The sequence below is a fragment of the Homo sapiens genome, chromosome 10 (genome assembly GCF_000001405.40).
Source record: "Homo sapiens chromosome 10, GRCh38.p14 Primary Assembly".
Taxonomy (NCBI): Eukaryota; Metazoa; Chordata; class Mammalia; order Primates; family Hominidae; genus Homo; species Homo sapiens.
The window spans coordinates 93,893,943-93,910,552 of record NC_000010.11 but is presented as its reverse complement, the minus strand read 5'-3'; the positions used below and the strand labels follow the sequence as shown (position 1 = coordinate 93,910,552).

Sequence of the window (16,610 nt, the reverse complement as noted above, 5' to 3'; positions counted from 1 at the left end):
ACCCAGTCTGTCTACAGGATTTCTACAGCCGGCACCCACGGCCCTTCTCTCTGGGCACTGCCACTGGACAGCTCCTTCTGCGCTTGAGACCCTGCTCATGATTCAAATTACAGAGAGAGATAAACCTGACTTGGCTGAGCTCAGGTCATGGGCCTGCCCACTTCCTAGGCCATTGGGGGTAGGATTCTGAATTGCCAGCTCCACCAAAACTAGAGACTTAGATTTCAGCAGTTCCCCAAAGGAAGGGGGTTATGGCAGAAACAATGCTTTAGGTTCACCAAATTCTGTTGCTATTGTTCTTTTCCTCTTCCTGAGCACAAAGGAAGACTTATTTCCTACCCTCCTTTTAAGTTAGGTTACAGCCAATGGCATTTGGGTAGAAACGATGTTCTCCGTCAAGACTGTTGATGTAAAATGTTGGTAAACTTGGAGGCTACCTGTATAAGAAGTCAGGATCATCAGGGGGAAGGAGCCTGGAGCCTAATCACCACTCAAAGGAGAGATACTGTAGAGACCTTGCAACTTACATCAGACTGTGAGGGAATCGAGATATAAAACTTTATTTTTTAAGACTCTTGAGATTTGGGGTGTTGTCTGTTATAGCAGCCAGCATAATTACTCTAATACAGGGATATTATTTTAGAAGAAAGGGGATGAGGGAAGCTGGGAATACATTCTATCTCTCTAGGAAGAGCAACAATAACCAAAAACATAGAGTCTTATTTGTGAAACGATACAAATTTTATTAATATACAACGGGAAATTTGACAGTTTAGGGAATCAGGTACTCAATCTTTTGATTCTCTTCTGCACTTATGGTATATGAGAAGCCAGATTATAATCACATAGTTATTTGATAACACAAATATACAAAGAACAAGGAGTGCTGATTTTGTAATGCAGTGTTCAGGGACATGAAGACTTGACTGTGTACTCATTGGGCCATGTTTCTTAAAATGAAGTTCAAGAGTCCCTCAAACCAGAGGTACATAAAGCCCAGGATAAATATGACACATCTGCCTAGGGTACCAAAGATTTGGGGAATAAAAAGCTAAATAACTGAATTGGTAATTTAAAAAAAAAAATTTACACTAAAACACACAGATATATTATTAATTAGGATGCAAAAAATTGCATGGATTTTTTTTTTTTAAAGCATGAAGCCTCCAAGAGGATTTGAGCTTGAAGTGGGCAGCTTTAGGCTTAGGGTAAGCAGAATAGTGGAGTCAGGAGCACAGGCTTGTAGTTGGACAGACCAGGGTTTTGAGAATAAGACTCTTGACACTTATTAGCTATGTGATCTTCGAAAAGTCATGTAACTTGTCCAAGCTCTATAACCTCATCAATATAATGAAAATAAACAGGCTTGTTGCAGGGACTGAAGGAGCCAGACCACAAAACTAGCTAGGACAGACACCTGAAGGATACAGTAAAGTATGGTGGTTAGTGTAGCTGTGATGGTAGCTATGCCTCCAGATTCTTCTCAGCTATTAGGGGTGCTTTGGGGAGAAAAGCTGGGAAGTCACTATCTTGGTGTATCTCATCTCTACAATGGAGCAAGCCTGCCAGAGTCACTCTCCTGTCCTTTCTCCTGAGCCTGGCCACCTTTCTTCTGATTGGCACACTGCACCTGTAGAAACAGTCTGGGGAAGTTACGGCTGAATGTGGCTGGCCCAGGGTTCACTTCTGTATATTCAGATGACTGTGTATAGCTCCATTCTTTCCTGCTTGGAGGCCGTAGGAAGCCAGCTCATGCCTAGGCTCTTGGGCAACATCTTGCTGTAGCCCACGCAAACTGATTATATAGTCCATATATGTCATGTTTGCTTCCAGTTATGACCAATGTGAGGGCTTGACAATATTTGGTGTTTCCTTGCATTGGCTAGGATTGTTTATGGCTACTGCCCAACAAATGTTAATTAGTAGATCGGAAGAAATAAAACTGAAATATATGCAGTGTTGTCATCACCTTCTATTCTTTCGCTTCTAGCTCTTGCTCTAGGAGGGGAAGGAGGAAGGAGGACATATGTATCCCTAAATCCCAAAGTCAAAAACCAACTCTTTCTCCACCACAGTGACAAATGACTCCCTGTTCTGCATTCTACCACCCTCAATTATGGAGGCAGCATGAAGTATTGGAAAGGGCAAGGTCTTTGGAGTCAGGCAGACCTCATGGCCCAACCTCATCATTTACTAGTGAGGGGACTAGAATTTAGCAGGTAGGTAACCCCATTCAACCTCTTTGAACTTCAGTTCCCAATCAGTCTATCTCCCAAGGTTGGTGAGGGAATGAGACAAAGATTAAGAAGCTCTTGGCTGGGATGAGGTTTATTCAATAAATGTTAGTGTCCTTTCCAAGTAAAAATTGTTTTGGTGCCATAGGAAAGCAGACATCTGAATCAGGGCCACACAACGCTTTCTAGGATCTTGGAGGATATAGTCCTATTAAAAAGGTGAACTTCAGTTTCATCTTTATATTCCCTTCAATCATGGAGATGTGGGAATTTAAGTATGGTCTGCAGACTCTATGAGGCAAAAGAGGAGGGAGCAAAAGGAAGTCCGTAAGGTGAGTCAGGGTGACAGCCCAGATTAAAGCAGTAAACATCTCTCTATGCATGTATGTATGTATGACATAATGTATATATGTAGCTCCCTATGTCTTTTACTCCTTTTCTTTCTCCTTTCTTTTCCATCAAGTCACCTTTTTATTTTTGTTCCACCAATTTTATTTTATTTTATTTTATTTTATTTTATTTTGACTAAGTTATTTACCCACCTGGTTCAAAATTCAAAAGGTGTAAAAGGGGATTCAGTGGAAAGTCTCCTCTCACCTCGCCCTTCAGCTGCCAAAGGCAACCAATGTTAACAGTTTCTTGCATATCCTCCTGGAATATTCTGTTTACCCTCTTTTTATACAAATGAGCACATACTCAACCATGATATGAATTTTGCTTTTTCACTTAACAATTTTGGACATTATTCCACACCCATATATGGAAAGCTTCCTTGCTCTTCTTAAATTTATTTTTAATTGCATTACATTTTATTTTGGGTATATACCATGACTTACTTAACCAGTACTCTATTGAGGGACATTCAGGCTAGTTCCATTTCTTCTTGCTATTACAAATCAGGCTGGAATAAACTTGTACATATCATTTTGCACATAAGTAAATCTGATAGATGGTGCCAAATTGCCCTTCCTAGAAGTTGTACCAATGCACACATGCTGCAAAGTACCAAAGACTTCTGACTTTTCTAAAATGCACATACAAAGGAACTAAAGCACATAAACAGGAAGTGTGTTCATCTGTTGTATCTCGTACTGTCACCCAGGCTGGAGTGCAGTGGCGCGATCGTAGCTCATTGCAGCCTTAAACTCCTGGACTCAAGTGATCTGGCCACCTTGGCCTCCCGAAATGCTGGGATTACAGGTGTGAGCCACTGTGCTGGCCTTGAAAGATAATGTAATTATATGTTAATATAAATAACACTTTAATAAAAAATAACTATTTTCCAAAAAAATTAGTGAGAAGAGTGGCATTGCTTTTTATTTTTGCAAACCTGGCTTGATAGATAATAGCTGTATTCTCCTATCTGCTTCTGCATTCAAGCTGTTGCAATTTCATGTCTAATAGCCTCTGGAAAGCTCCACTGTATACTTATGAAAGAATGATTGTGAAACAGACTAATAACATTCTTAGTATTATTATTAAAATAGTTTTGACATCGCAAACACTTTGAAAGGGTCCTGAGGACTCTGAGGTATCCAAACCACACTTTGAAAACAGTTGGTTTAGACCAACTTTATTATATTTTATTATTCTTATCCCCTATATATCTAATTTTTGTGAATTTTATCTGTCACAGGCTAAAAAAACCCCATGAAAATGTCCTACCTTTTGTTGATTTTTGTTCTTTTGAGGTGTTTTGCTTTATGTAATTGTGATTGTGTATAATGTGGTACATACATATCCAAGACAATTTTATCGTTTATATTTTTTTTTTAGTGGCTTAAAACAGTAATAACTGGTTTCTTTTTCTCACAAATCTGCAATTTGAGCAGAGCTCAGGAGGTAGGAGGAGGGCTTGTCTCTGCTCCACACAGCATCAGCTGGGGCAGCTCACCTGAGAGTTGGAGGATCCATTCCCAGTGTGCACACTCACCTGGCTGGCAGGCTCATGCTGGCTATCAGCTGGTAGTGCAGATGGGGCCAAGTGTCAGGGCCTCAGTTCCTCTCCACATGGGCCTCTTCATGTGGGCTTCTCCATGTAGCCCAGGCTTCCTCACAGCAATGTGGCTGATTTCCCAGGGGGAATATCAGAAGAAAGAAAATGTTAGTCCATTCTGAATTATGCTATTGCTTTGAATTCAATTCTAATATTATTGAGCTAGTACCTACTATAATCATAGAAAAAATCAAATATAGTTGTATTATTAGTTTCTCTCTTTCTGGTATGTTCTTGGCACATACAGCTTAATCTTAAATCATGGTCAAGTATACTTGGAACAGCGGTAAGAACAGCCAGGTTCTTATAACCTCAGATACAGGCCTTCTGGTTAGTAATGCACTCCTCTGGCCTGGCCTTTCCATGTACTTCTGCTGCACCATGGAGCTCCCAACCCTGGCATGGTACTTTCATGCTGCACCATTCACCTGAACACATTTCCTCCTGCCCAAGTCTACTTCTGCTCAACTATGGTTTTATACTTTCCTGACCCCACCCTGGCAACTAATCATGAATCTAGGTTACTTCCTTTGCTTCATCAGGCTTACTGGTATTAATCTCACATGGTTTCTAGAATCATGAAAGTTTAGTGGAAGAGACCCAGGCTCTTTCTCTAGTAATGACATTTCCTGAGCCCAGTGGAACGTTTTCCTGTGTACTGGGCATCTCTGCTACATTTACTGCCCTCCCTTGATACCAAGTATGTCTTCTCCTTACCCTCTTGCTATAAAGCCCACCCCTGAATTTCCAGGAGATGAGAAGTGCCAAGGTTCATGGGCTGTGAATTGTTTTCCCAGGTCCAGCTCCAAACTTAATGTTCAAAGAGGCTAAACCGTGGATCCATCAATGTGGATCAGAGTCCCTGATAGGTTATCTTGCAGAATTCTAGGTGAATATGGTAGCTGTATTAGATCTGATATAAGGCACCAAACGGGGCATAAAACAGCATGCTTAGGGTAGTGTCCAGGATTCATATATCCAACCTTCACCCATATAACCAAATTCTAATGCCCATTATTGACCATGGATCCATACACACCTAGATCAGAGACCAGGGTGATATCAAGAACATCTGGCTCTCTTCCCACTAGAATGCCCTCAAGAGAGTAAATATGCTTACCGAGTGCAATACGTAAGAGGCTAAAAGAACCATGCTGAGTACACAGTGCATGGGAAACACACATAAATCAGGCCCATTCCCCAGGTCAGAGCCAAGCATAATACCCATATAAGATCAGAGCTAGGGCCAGAACTGGAAAGGTGGTAACACCTGCGCATGAAAGGACTGGTGATCCTTGGCAGCCCTATATGGGAAGATCAGCTAGGAAGTGAAAGCTGGCCAACAGCACAATTCTGTGCTAGCAGGAGGGGGCCGAATGGAGTTTGCATTCTGATAGGCATGTTCCTACGGTTCCTGGTGAGGCTGCTCGGGAGTAAGGACTCTGGTATACGCCTCATTTTGAAGAGGAGAGTGAATACTCAATTCTACAGTCTTAACCACAGTTCAATACTTAATGTTTTCATCCTTCTTAATAGTCTATAAGCCCTTCTATGGCACTCATTTGCAAGAGGGACTGGGCAAGTGAGGAAAACAGGCTCAGGTGCATTAGGTGATTTGTCCAGCTGAAAAGTGATAAAACCACACTAGACCTTCAGATCCCAATCCAGTGCTTTACCCACTCTTCCAAGATGGATTATGTGGGTAGGAGAAGCTAGAGTCCAGAAGAAACAAAAGCCTAAGCTGAGCCATTGGAGGCTAACAGGCCTTAGAGGGTAAATAAGAGAAGGTAAGGACAGGGGGGAAATGCAGAGGAAGGACTCTACTGGCAAACATGGGAGCTAGTGGTAAGACTGATCTGAGTATCCCATTTGTGTTGGGATGTAGAAATCAGGTCGGAGAAGTGGGAGTAGGGCCAGATGAAAATTTGATGTGATATGGTGTGTAATAAGGCATCACTGTGGTTTCATGAGAACTAGAGTAACAGTGAAAACAGGGCTTTAGGAACATTAAGCTGGCACTGAGACAGGAATCAGAGTGGAAGAAAGAGTCTTGAAGCAGGTAACCAGTAAACTGTTGTGGTAATTCAGGTGTAAGGTGCTAAGTCTTGGGCTAAGATGGTGGCAGTGGAAATGGTGAGGAAAGAATAAATCCACAAGACAATAAGAAGACAATAAGAAGAAAGACTCTTCAGGATTTAGTAACGGATTAGCTACAGGAACAAAAAGTACAGAGTTCAAAGCTACTTTAAGTTCTCAGGATCTAGAAGAATGAAGGTCTCACTAACACAGAAGACTAATGCCTTTATTTTGGAGAGATAAACAGATTACACTGTTCATCTGACCCTCTTGATAGTACAAGTGGGTCAGACAGTTTAAACTTTGAGATTATATCCCAGCTGAATGGCTAGAGGTCAATCTCCTACAGAAAATATATTTTGAAGCATAGGGTTGAAAGGGAAATAAGTTATATATTTGCTATAATCATAACAACCAACATATAGCTTTCTTTCATATTATTTTATTAGTACTTATAAAAACAATTTATGAAAATATTTTCCTTTTCAAGATATAGAAACTACGCTCTGCAAAATATACATACCCATAGTTGTTACAATACATATCCTTGTATACACCTTGGACATTGTGTTTAAGAATCACACCCTGTAAGGGCTAGAAGAAACATTTTCTCTAACCTCAGTTATATAGTGTGACATTCAAGTACTTAAACTACATTGTTCAAACAAAACATGTCTCTAGTGTATGGGCCTAAAGGGATTTAACTTTCTAGGTGCCACTGATTCTTTCACTGTGCAAGGTAAAGAACTGGAAGAGGGTTCCCTGAGAGTTAATTCACCTTAGGTAGCTCAAGTAGTGGTTTACTGTCCATACTTTATCATGGAACTAAGGAAGGGAGGAAGGCCATGGAAATTCAACTTGGGCAGGTCTCCTCTCTATCATCCCTATCTACGAAGCATGGCCCCTATGTGATGATTTCTGAGACCTCTAGAGTTCTCAAATGCTCCTGATTCTGTAATTATCTAAGATATTTGCAGAATGATGTTTTTGCAAGTCTAAATTCCAATACTGTAAATCAGGTGGAACAGAGATGACTCACCTACATAGACTTCATTTAGGGTTTGTCAGGTGTCAAGGCAATTGATAAAATCAGCAAGCCAAAAATTCCCCCATTGGAACTATTGGAAAAGATTCTTTCTCACTAAGGCACGAACCCCAGAAGCCAAGTTCCTCTTTGCTTTGGAAAAATTATGATGAGAGGGTAGGAAAGAGCCTATAACCTTTCAACTCTGCAGGCTTAAGATAATGACAGATGCTTCATCTGACACAGTAAGAGCTGGAAGCTATTGCAACCTCACCAATAAAGGGCTCATTACAACAAGTAACCATTTATGTATACTCCCTAAGTCCTGACTAACCTCCCAAGCTTTTCTAGATATTAAATTCTCTCTAACTGCAAAGTATTGGTCTGATGAAGTTCCAGGTGTAAAACGTGCTGTTTGAATTCATGGCGTTAGTGTCATGGTGCTGCATCATGGTATGGCACTGACATTTAACATCATGCTGATAAACTAGAATTCATAGTGATTTTATTTCAATGCAGGAAACTATGAAAGTCAATCAAACATGGATTCACAAGTCTTTACATTTAATGTATAACATAAAGCATTATTACACATAATTTCATAACTATAAAAATAAGTTTAATACATTACCATATTTTAAAAAATTACTTTAAAAACATATACTCCAAAGTCTTCTATTTCATTTAGAGAATAATGGAGGTATCTATTAGGGTGAATCATATGAAACGATGGTTTTTCTAAGTTAAAATAGTAAAATCTTGGCAATTACATATGGTTCAACCTAATAAGATCCTGAGAAAATTTTATTTGGCATCACACTATAAATTCAAGGGGAATTTATAGAAAATCACATTTCTAGTGAAGAGAAAACACTTCAGGATGGAAACGTGCACACTGGTCATGCCAAGATTTCTCTTTGTGATTTAGAGATCTGAAATCTTGGAATGTTAAGAAAAATTTAGTGCAGTTTCAAAAAAAAGTGAGGACAATTAAAATTATAGTATGCTAGCTGCAGTTGCTAATGCCACTGAAACAAAACTACTAGCCAAATTTGGCAATTTAAGTGTTTTAGAGGTGACATAATAAAAATTCCAGCATTAAAATGAAAAGGCACAAATATGAGTTACAAGTATGATAATCATTTATAAAATCCTTGAAAATAAGGCCAATTCATTTGTATTATTAACACCATTAAGCAGGCACCTATTCTAAGCTTCAACTTCATCCTCCTAAATAGAATAAGGTTGCAAATGAATTATCAACATAATACTAATTATAGCAGCATTATCAATTGTCTGGAAGGCATAGTTTATAAAGATCATGGTAGTAGAACCAAGTTTCTTAGGCTCTACACTGCTAAAAGAATATCTAAAATAGCCTCCCCACCCATATCCCATCAGTACCAAAAATACATTTTAAAAATTACATAAATATTACTAGCCATAAAATGTTTTGGTTTTTCTTCAAACAATGAGCTCTCCTCTCACCAACTTGACCCCAACAACAACAACAAAAAAAACCAAAACCAAAACCAAAGCTACCAAAAAATTGTTACACCAAACAGACTAGCTATTCTTAACTAAAGACATACTATATTCAAAAATGGTACTTTAGGCAATTTATTAAATACAACCAATGAAGAAAATGCAGATTTTCCAGATGTGTGCGTATGCTGTATGTGAATTAGGTGATGGTGTACTTGAAAAAAATATGTATTTCAGCAATGATGCTTCATTTGGAACTTTGGTACCATTTACGAATGGCCGCTCCAACATTACTGGCTACTACGCAGAGAGCACCACCCACTGTCCACCACGTTGGCACATTATTAAAGAAAATAATCTGAAAGATAAAAGCAAAGACCACATCCATTGTCTTCATTATTGCTACTGGCCCTGCTTTTTCTATTTGAAGTGCTTTTGTGATAAATATCTGACCCCCCAAACCAAAGAGCCCAATGAATATGAGAAATAGCCTGTCCAACCCACAGTAAGGCAGACTCCACTCTCCTAATACAGAGAGGATGATGACACTTTCAACGAGGCCAAGTACTACATAATACCAAATGCTCAGAAAGTAGTCCACAGATTTTCCCATTTTTCTTAGGATAACTAGAGTCGATGCAGCAAATACGGCACTTCCAATTGCTGCGAATGTTCCCTTAAGGTGGCCTGAATAGCTTTCTTCCATCCCCGAAGTGTCGGAACCAAACAAAAATGGTGGTCTCACGATAAGGATCACTCCAGTGATTGTGAACACGGTGAAAAGAGCATCCCAAGGGCTATATTTTTCCTTGAGACATATCCAAGCAAATATGGACGTAAACACTGGACTGCTAAACGTGATAACTGTGGCATCAGCGAGGGACATTGTCTGGTAAGCATAGTATATAAGCATCATGGCGGTAGAACCAAGGACTCCTCTGAGAATGAGGAAAATTCGTTGACCTTTTGGGCCTATAAACCCAGTTCTGTAAATTCAAATGAAGAAATGCATATTAAATGAAATTAATATTTGTTTTTAAATTACAATTTGTAATTAAACATTATTTTAAAAGTACTAAATATCAAAAAATGAGGGAATAGTAAATTAATTATAATATCCACAAATGAATATTATATACTTTTTAAAAATAGTATTTTCTAAGTATAGTTAATGACAGTAAAGTGTTCACAGTAAAAGCAAAACCAGTGCAAGTGAATTACATGCATAGTAAAATTATAATTCAATTAATATAGATATTTATCCCACGTATATGTATATATATGCTTGCAAAAAGGACAAAAAGGAAAATAAACTAAATGTTAATCATGTTTATATCTTAATAGATAAACTCATAGGTAATTTTCTTTCTTTATATTTATTTTCTCCAAATTTTCTATAAACATATCACTTTTATGATAAATACAATGTCAAGATTCAGCTGCCCTGTGTAAGGAAACTTAGACCCAGCTAATGCTCATTCTCAATCTCATGAATTTTTCTATAAAACTTGAAACTGCTAAAATTTATTTTAGTCATTGAATATGAGACAAGTTTTCATTGTTCTCATGAGGAAAGAGTCAAAACACACTGAAAAAGAACATGTAGTGTTTGGAAAAGTATGATTACTGCTATTCAAATTCTTTTTCAATAAATATTTACTAAGTACCCACTCTGTGTAGGTTCCTGGCTAGGTGCAACTTGCTGACGTGTGCCAGGGCTAGACTTCATTAGATTATCATCTAGGCTACCCCGGGTATCTTGGAGTTAAAATGAAAGCACGGTCACATTTGGCCCATACTTTGAGAAGCAAAGAGTCTTCCATGATAATAAAACATAAAATGGGTCAAAACAGATGAGGACCAAGGATTTTAACAACATTCTTCCAGTGTCCTTCCCCTGACAATATCTTTATTTCAAAATGGGGGAGATGATTATGTTAGCATCGGTGTTCTGCTGCTACCCTTAGAAATTTCTAAAGCCCTACCATCATTTCTTAAAATAGTGTGACTTGTCCGCATTGACAGAAATTTGCAGGTATTAGCAGGTTTTCACTTTTCCCACCAAATCATCAGGATATGGAGTGAAACTATTCTAAGTGAATCCGCACCATGTTAGAGATACAAGGAGACTTTGGTGACAAGTGACTAAAGCTTTTCATTTGGGGTGTAGCCTTTTTTGCCCAAAGAGACAAAGAGCCAGGCAGCCACCAAGGACCCAACTGGTCTCGCTCTCAGGGTTCTAAATACACTGAGGTATATGGAGGTTACAATGGTTGAAGGAGGCATAATTTTAACCCAGGGAGGGTAGGGAGTTCAACAGGGAAGGAAAAGAGGAATTGGGTTGGGAGAGAACAGAGAGGGCGGAATAGAGACAATTTTCATATACTGTTACACTCTACACAAGGCACTCCACCCTATAATAAATCTTATTTGACCCTTGGAATCACCTTGTAGGGCAGAAGTCACACAGTATCATTCCCTCTAGTTTACAAAAGAGGAAACTAAATACGAAAGTAACCTTGCTCAGGGTTACCCCATCACCTTTTGAGGAATACCTAAATATTATTACTATAATCTTCTATTTGCCCTGGTAAGAAAGCAGCCCATTCTAAAAAAACTTCTGATACTAGGATACACTATTACTTCTTTTCATTCATTTTTTTAACTTCCAAACAGTAGTTATGCCAAAGGAAAGAAGGGAGGGTGATACAAGACAAGAGGAATTATACAAAGAAAGCTCTGTTTTCAAAAGGGGAGGTGGTGAAAAACAAAATTTCTTTCTCCCCACTTTGTTGGGTATGTGGTTTATGCTCATGGTAGAATCTTCTGTGGGTAGATGCTTATGACTTTTCATTAAGCAGAGCCAAGGGGCATAGGAACTGGTAAGTATATGAGATGGATAAAGCAGATAGAGTAATTATAGGCAGGTGAAAAGATATACACACATTTATTAATATCTTCTACTTTGCAGTTAAAAAATACTTACTTTCTGTATATTAAGCAAGGGATAACAACTAGCATTTGGAACACACATCGAAACGCACTAATCTCTACAGCATGGACGTCTTGCACTTTTTTAACAAATAAAGAGCCCACTGAGAAAAGGAAGGCAGACAATAATGTGTAAAACAAGCCAAGTCCAGGACAGGGTGCTTTCTTCTTGGCTTCTGAAAAAGATTAAATTCTGGTTAGTCCTTGCTTCCAAGTGTATGTGTTATCATTTTCACTTAGAAACTGAGAAAAATGGAACAGTGTCAAAGGTCAACAGGCTTTATTACCTCCTAAGCATATCATTTCTCTGGGCCTGTACCATTTTCCCCATCAATTATGAAGAACCATAGATGAGGATAACAATTTAAACCTGCATTTTTAAAATGCCGTTTCGCCCTATCAAATGGATTTCCTATGGCTCACTGAAGAATCATCCTCACTTACAAGTCAAGAAGTAGAACGCTTGCCAAGATGGTGAGAGAAATCTTTAAGAAACACTTGTCAAGATGGCAAGTAAAAAATCCTTCCAAGTGATATCTTACGCCACACCTCACTGGCGAAATTGGCTTTATGAAGAAAGTGTTCTTTTCTGGAAAATGGGTTATAATTGGGTTATACAGTTATCTGTTGATTATTTGACTTCCTCCCACAAGTCTGTGAGCTCTTCCAGGGCTGGGATCTTGCTGTCTTGTACATGCCTGGCACATGGAAGACACTGGATAAATATTCAGTGAATGAAAGATGAGAGAACTTCAGGGAAAGACTCAAGAGTCTAACACTATCGGCAACAGCATAATCTGGGAAGGTTCTCCATTTTGTTATTTTGAACTGTTAATCAAATCTATATTTAACTTTTCATGCTTTCACGACTTATCTTCCCATTCAGAGCACAAACTCCTCAAGGGGAGGGTGTGGGTTATCTAGCCCTTTGGATCCCAAGTGCTTTGTACAGAACTGCCATCTAATCCCTACTCTTGGCTCGATCTGAACGAGGAAACCAGTGCTTTCTCCAGGGCATCAAGTATTCAGTCATTAATGACAATCTGTGTGAGCTTTAAACTTGTTTAGCCACTTACTATGTCTTAGTTTCCTACACAGGAGTAGAACCTGCTTTCAGTCTTACTCCTCTGTCATTCAGAGAGCAAAAGCAGCAGGGTGGGCAGAGAATGCCCTAAAACAAAGGTCACACACTGCGGGATATATTCTTTTTTGAAATTAACACAAAAACAGGGTTGAGGGTAAGAAGGAAACACAAGTGGCCCTCATTGATTAAGAGCACAGTGGAACTGAAGGGTGAGTGGATATGAGCAACTTGTAGGAAAACTCGTATTATCATTCCAATCTAGGACTTTATAATGTGATAGCTATAAAACAGTATTGTGTAATGTTTTTTAAAATGCCCTTCTCTGATAAATGTAAACACCAGGTAACACATTTACACATCCTCAGGTTAGTGAGATGACTTTGCAAACTGGGACCAAAGTATGCTGATGCACAGGCTTTCTGGGGCATTCTACAGCCTGGCCTTGTGGTCAAAGGCACCCTTCTCTACCTCTTCCTGTTCTAGGTGCACAGCTGAAGATACTGCTTTGGAACTAGCAGTAGTCCTTCCCTTAAGATGCCAGAATCCTCATTCTGTTCTGTATCCATGTGCTTGTATACTGCAGAAATAAACTGCACACACGCAGCCCACGAGAAGGAAGCTTTAGAAGACTTCCAAGTGAAGCACCACAAAATACATGCCTTGGCTGTGGTCAGCCTTAGGGTCTGGCCTCTGAAATTTCAGAATTCAGTTCCAAATAAAACAGTTTTTCTTAAAAGAAACTCAACCCCTACATAGAAACTCCACCCTCAAACAGAACAGACCGAGAAGATCAAGGACAGAAAACATCTCCCTGCTCTGTTTCAAGTATCTTCTCCAACATAAACTTGCTAATTTTTCCCCAGGAATATTTTAACTTAACATTAAATATTTTAACTCTTTAAAAATGTAATTGCACCCCCTTGGCCCTAGTGACCTTTCCCCTTAAAACACATACACATGTATTTTCTTGCCTATAAACACTTAAGGCTCATGCTTTCCAACTGGGAAGGGACAGACATTAGAAGGCCTCGCTGCATTTGATGATTTGTTAACGAGGGTGAGGACTGGCTCCACTCAGACAAACCTCAGTTTCTTACTAAATCATTTCAATCCTGTCAATGGAGATGAGCATGACTAGCATAACTGAAAGAGGCATTTGTTTAGGTTCCATGTTCATATCTCACTGCAAGCATATCTAATAATTTGGTAACTCAAATTATTCAAATTAGGTAAGTGGCCATGGTGTAATTTCCTCACTTAGAAGAAAACTGAAAAATTACTCAGCTTCTCTATCCTCTGCTTTCAGCTGGTGATTCGCAATCCTGGTTGGGAATTAGAATCACCTGAGTAACACTTAAAACTTTAATTCCTGGGTGCAGTGGCTCATGCCTGTAATCCCAGCACCTTGGGAGGACAAGGTGGGAGGATCTCTTGAGCTCAAAAGTTTGAGACCACCCTGGGCAACACGGGGAAACCCCCTCATCAATGCAAAAAATATTTTTAAATTAGTCGGGTGTGGTGGTGTGTGCCTGTGGTCCCAGCTACTCAGGAGACTTAGATGAAAGGATCGAGTAAGCCCAGGAGGTTGAGGTCGCCGTGAGCTGTGATCACGCCAATGCACCACAGCCTTGGTGACAGAGTAAGACCCTATCTCCAAAAAAAAAAAAAATTAATTCTCAAGCCCCATCTCAGACCCACCGAAATAGAATCTCTGTAACTCTAAAAGGCTCCACTAGTTTGAGAACCACTGCTACACTCGATCACTAACTCCCTCCAGAGGATGTGAGGCACAGGCCTAAGAAACTACTTCTCCTTGCTTCAGTGTAAGACCCACACTGTCCCTGAAGAAAGTAAGGAGATGTCTTGGGACAGCTGTATGTGTCTGTTAAGGTCATCCAAGAATGTAAGACATATGGGTAACAGTTCCAACCAGAACTTGAAAAAAGCTTTGTTGAGATAAGCAGTTAGAACAAGAGGTGTCACAAAGTTCAATGACAACAGTAAAGTGTTTTTATGTCAATTTTCTTTCCAAAATATTATCTTGTCACCTTACAATAACTAAGTCTTACTGGTAGAAACTTTCTTTGAAGTTAAACACCCACAAGATTCTTAGATACACTCACGTAAGTTTCTCATCTTGCCATGAGCTGCCTGGGAGTAGAGAATTCCTCTTCCATTCACAAAAAGGGGAAACTTTAAGAGTTTGCATGGACTGATTCGGCATGCCACCAGAAGGACATTCACCCAGAGGGTGATAGGTGAGAAACTGACCTTTTCAAAGGCTGCTTATCTGTTCAATTCAGCCTGGCATAACCCCTGTTCTAGAGGCACCAGCCCATTTATAAATGATCACAAGTCTGATCATTTCGGTTTGCCTTTAGGACAGAAATGGAGCAAGAATAGTCTTCCTAGAGTCTGTCTCTCTAACTTGGGGAAAGTGCACAAAGGGAGGAGGGGAAAGCGCAGTGAGAGGAGAGGAACAGAAATCCAGGGTCACACTTAGGGGAGGTGACCCAGAGGACAAGGTGGTGCAGGCCGTGTAACTGTCCTAAAAAGAGATCTGCCTATTCCCTTCTTCTTGCAGGAAGCTGCTCCTGGTAGATGGTCGACTTCTAAGAGGAATGTGCTTGAAGCAGCACTTGTGGCCAGTGGAAAGGGCCCTAGGCCGGTATATGGCAAGCTGGGATCCTAACCCTGGTGCTCCCTGGACATGCGCCCCATCTCACCCCCACGTTCCACATCTTGGAGGAGACAAAGCAAACGAAAACCCAAAAGCCCTCACCTTCCTGGGCCTCACTTTGCTCATGTGTCGAAGGAGGGGGACTGAACATAAAGTGTTCTTCACGAGGGGTCCCTGACTTTGGGGACGGGGCTGTGAGCTTCTTAACAAGATATGCCTTGTTCTGCATCGTTTGCTAAAAAGTCCTTGTATCCCTAAAGGTTAAAAACTAGCGGTCCCACTTATCTCTGCCTTTCCAAGATTCTAAAACTCTAGGACGAACATTTTTTCTAGACTCGATGCTTTTCAGCTTCCTTTTCGGAGAGAACCCTTAACCACCGGGATCACTTTTCAGGGTCAGCTTCCTCGCAACGTCGCCCCACTGCAGGATGGCCTCTCTCGCTGACCCCCCACCTACGACCTAGGGGAGGGTACGCCAAACTGCAGTCTGACTCCACAGCCCTGCCCCGACACTAATTACAGGAGCAGCCTCGGAATCCCAAAAGGACTGCTAACAATCGGAAAGTTTCTTCCGTCTTAGCGCCGGCTGGGGCGCCGGGAATTCCGCTTTGCAGCCCCCCAGCTGACAGCTCGAGGGGTTTCCCGAGCCCCGGGCAGGGTGGGGACGGAGGCGCGGCGGGCACTGTGCCCGGGTTGCGGGGACCCCAACCCGCCGGCGCCCGCTCGGGACCCCCGAGCGAGACCAGAGCCCGATCCACACCGCGCACTCACCCGGCTCGGTGCGGGAGCAACACGGCGAGGAAAGGCAGAGCCAGCACCTACCGCGGTCTGGCGCCCCAGCTGCCTCGGCGGCCGCCGGCTCCTCAGTGGCGCCCGGGGGTGCATCGTCCGTTAGCGGCAGCCCGGGCTCCTGGAGCTCCGCGACCCCGGTGCTGTCCTGAGGCCGCATCTCGCGGCACGCGCTCTACCAGCGGCCGGTGCCGTCTGGCGCCAGCAGCAGCGCCTGGGCTGCCGCTCTTCCGGCGGGCGATGGCGCCCAT

The 16,610-nt window shown here is 41.0% G+C and overlaps 1 protein-coding gene across 6 annotated transcripts, besides 2 other annotated features; it reads right to left on the bottom strand.

Annotated features, from left to right (window-relative positions):
- Positions 723-16,575, bottom strand: SLC35G1 (solute carrier family 35 member G1). Of its 6 annotated transcripts, none has more exons than NR_144337.2 (3): positions 16,342-16,575; positions 4,168-4,301; positions 723-3,454 (listed from the first exon to the last, which is right to left on the bottom strand). NR_144337.2 is itself a non-coding variant. In NM_001134658.3 (3 exons), the coding sequence occupies exons 1-3, from the start codon at positions 16,517-16,519 to the stop codon at positions 9,063-9,065; spliced, it is 1,098 nt and encodes a 365-aa protein (NP_001128130.1). In that variant the 5' UTR covers positions 16,520-16,575; the 3' UTR covers positions 6,729-9,062. The 6 variants fall into 6 exon arrangements, 3 of the variants coding, with proteins under 3 accessions (NP_001128130.1, NP_694958.1, NP_001332922.1); NR_144336.2 differs by having other exon boundaries at positions 723-2,525; NR_144335.2 differs by having other exon boundaries at positions 16,393-16,575.
- Positions 14,637-14,686: a silencer, noted in NCBI's record as "silent region_2631". NCBI's record gives its function as "represses an Ori minimal core promoter by ATAC-STARR-seq in GM12878 lymphoblastoid cells {active_cell/tissue: GM12878}" and the evidence as "EXISTENCE:reporter gene assay evidence [ECO:0000049][PMID:35858748]".
- Positions 16,172-16,601: a silencer, noted in NCBI's record as "silent region_2630". NCBI's record gives its function as "represses an Ori minimal core promoter by ATAC-STARR-seq in GM12878 lymphoblastoid cells {active_cell/tissue: GM12878}" and the evidence as "EXISTENCE:reporter gene assay evidence [ECO:0000049][PMID:35858748]".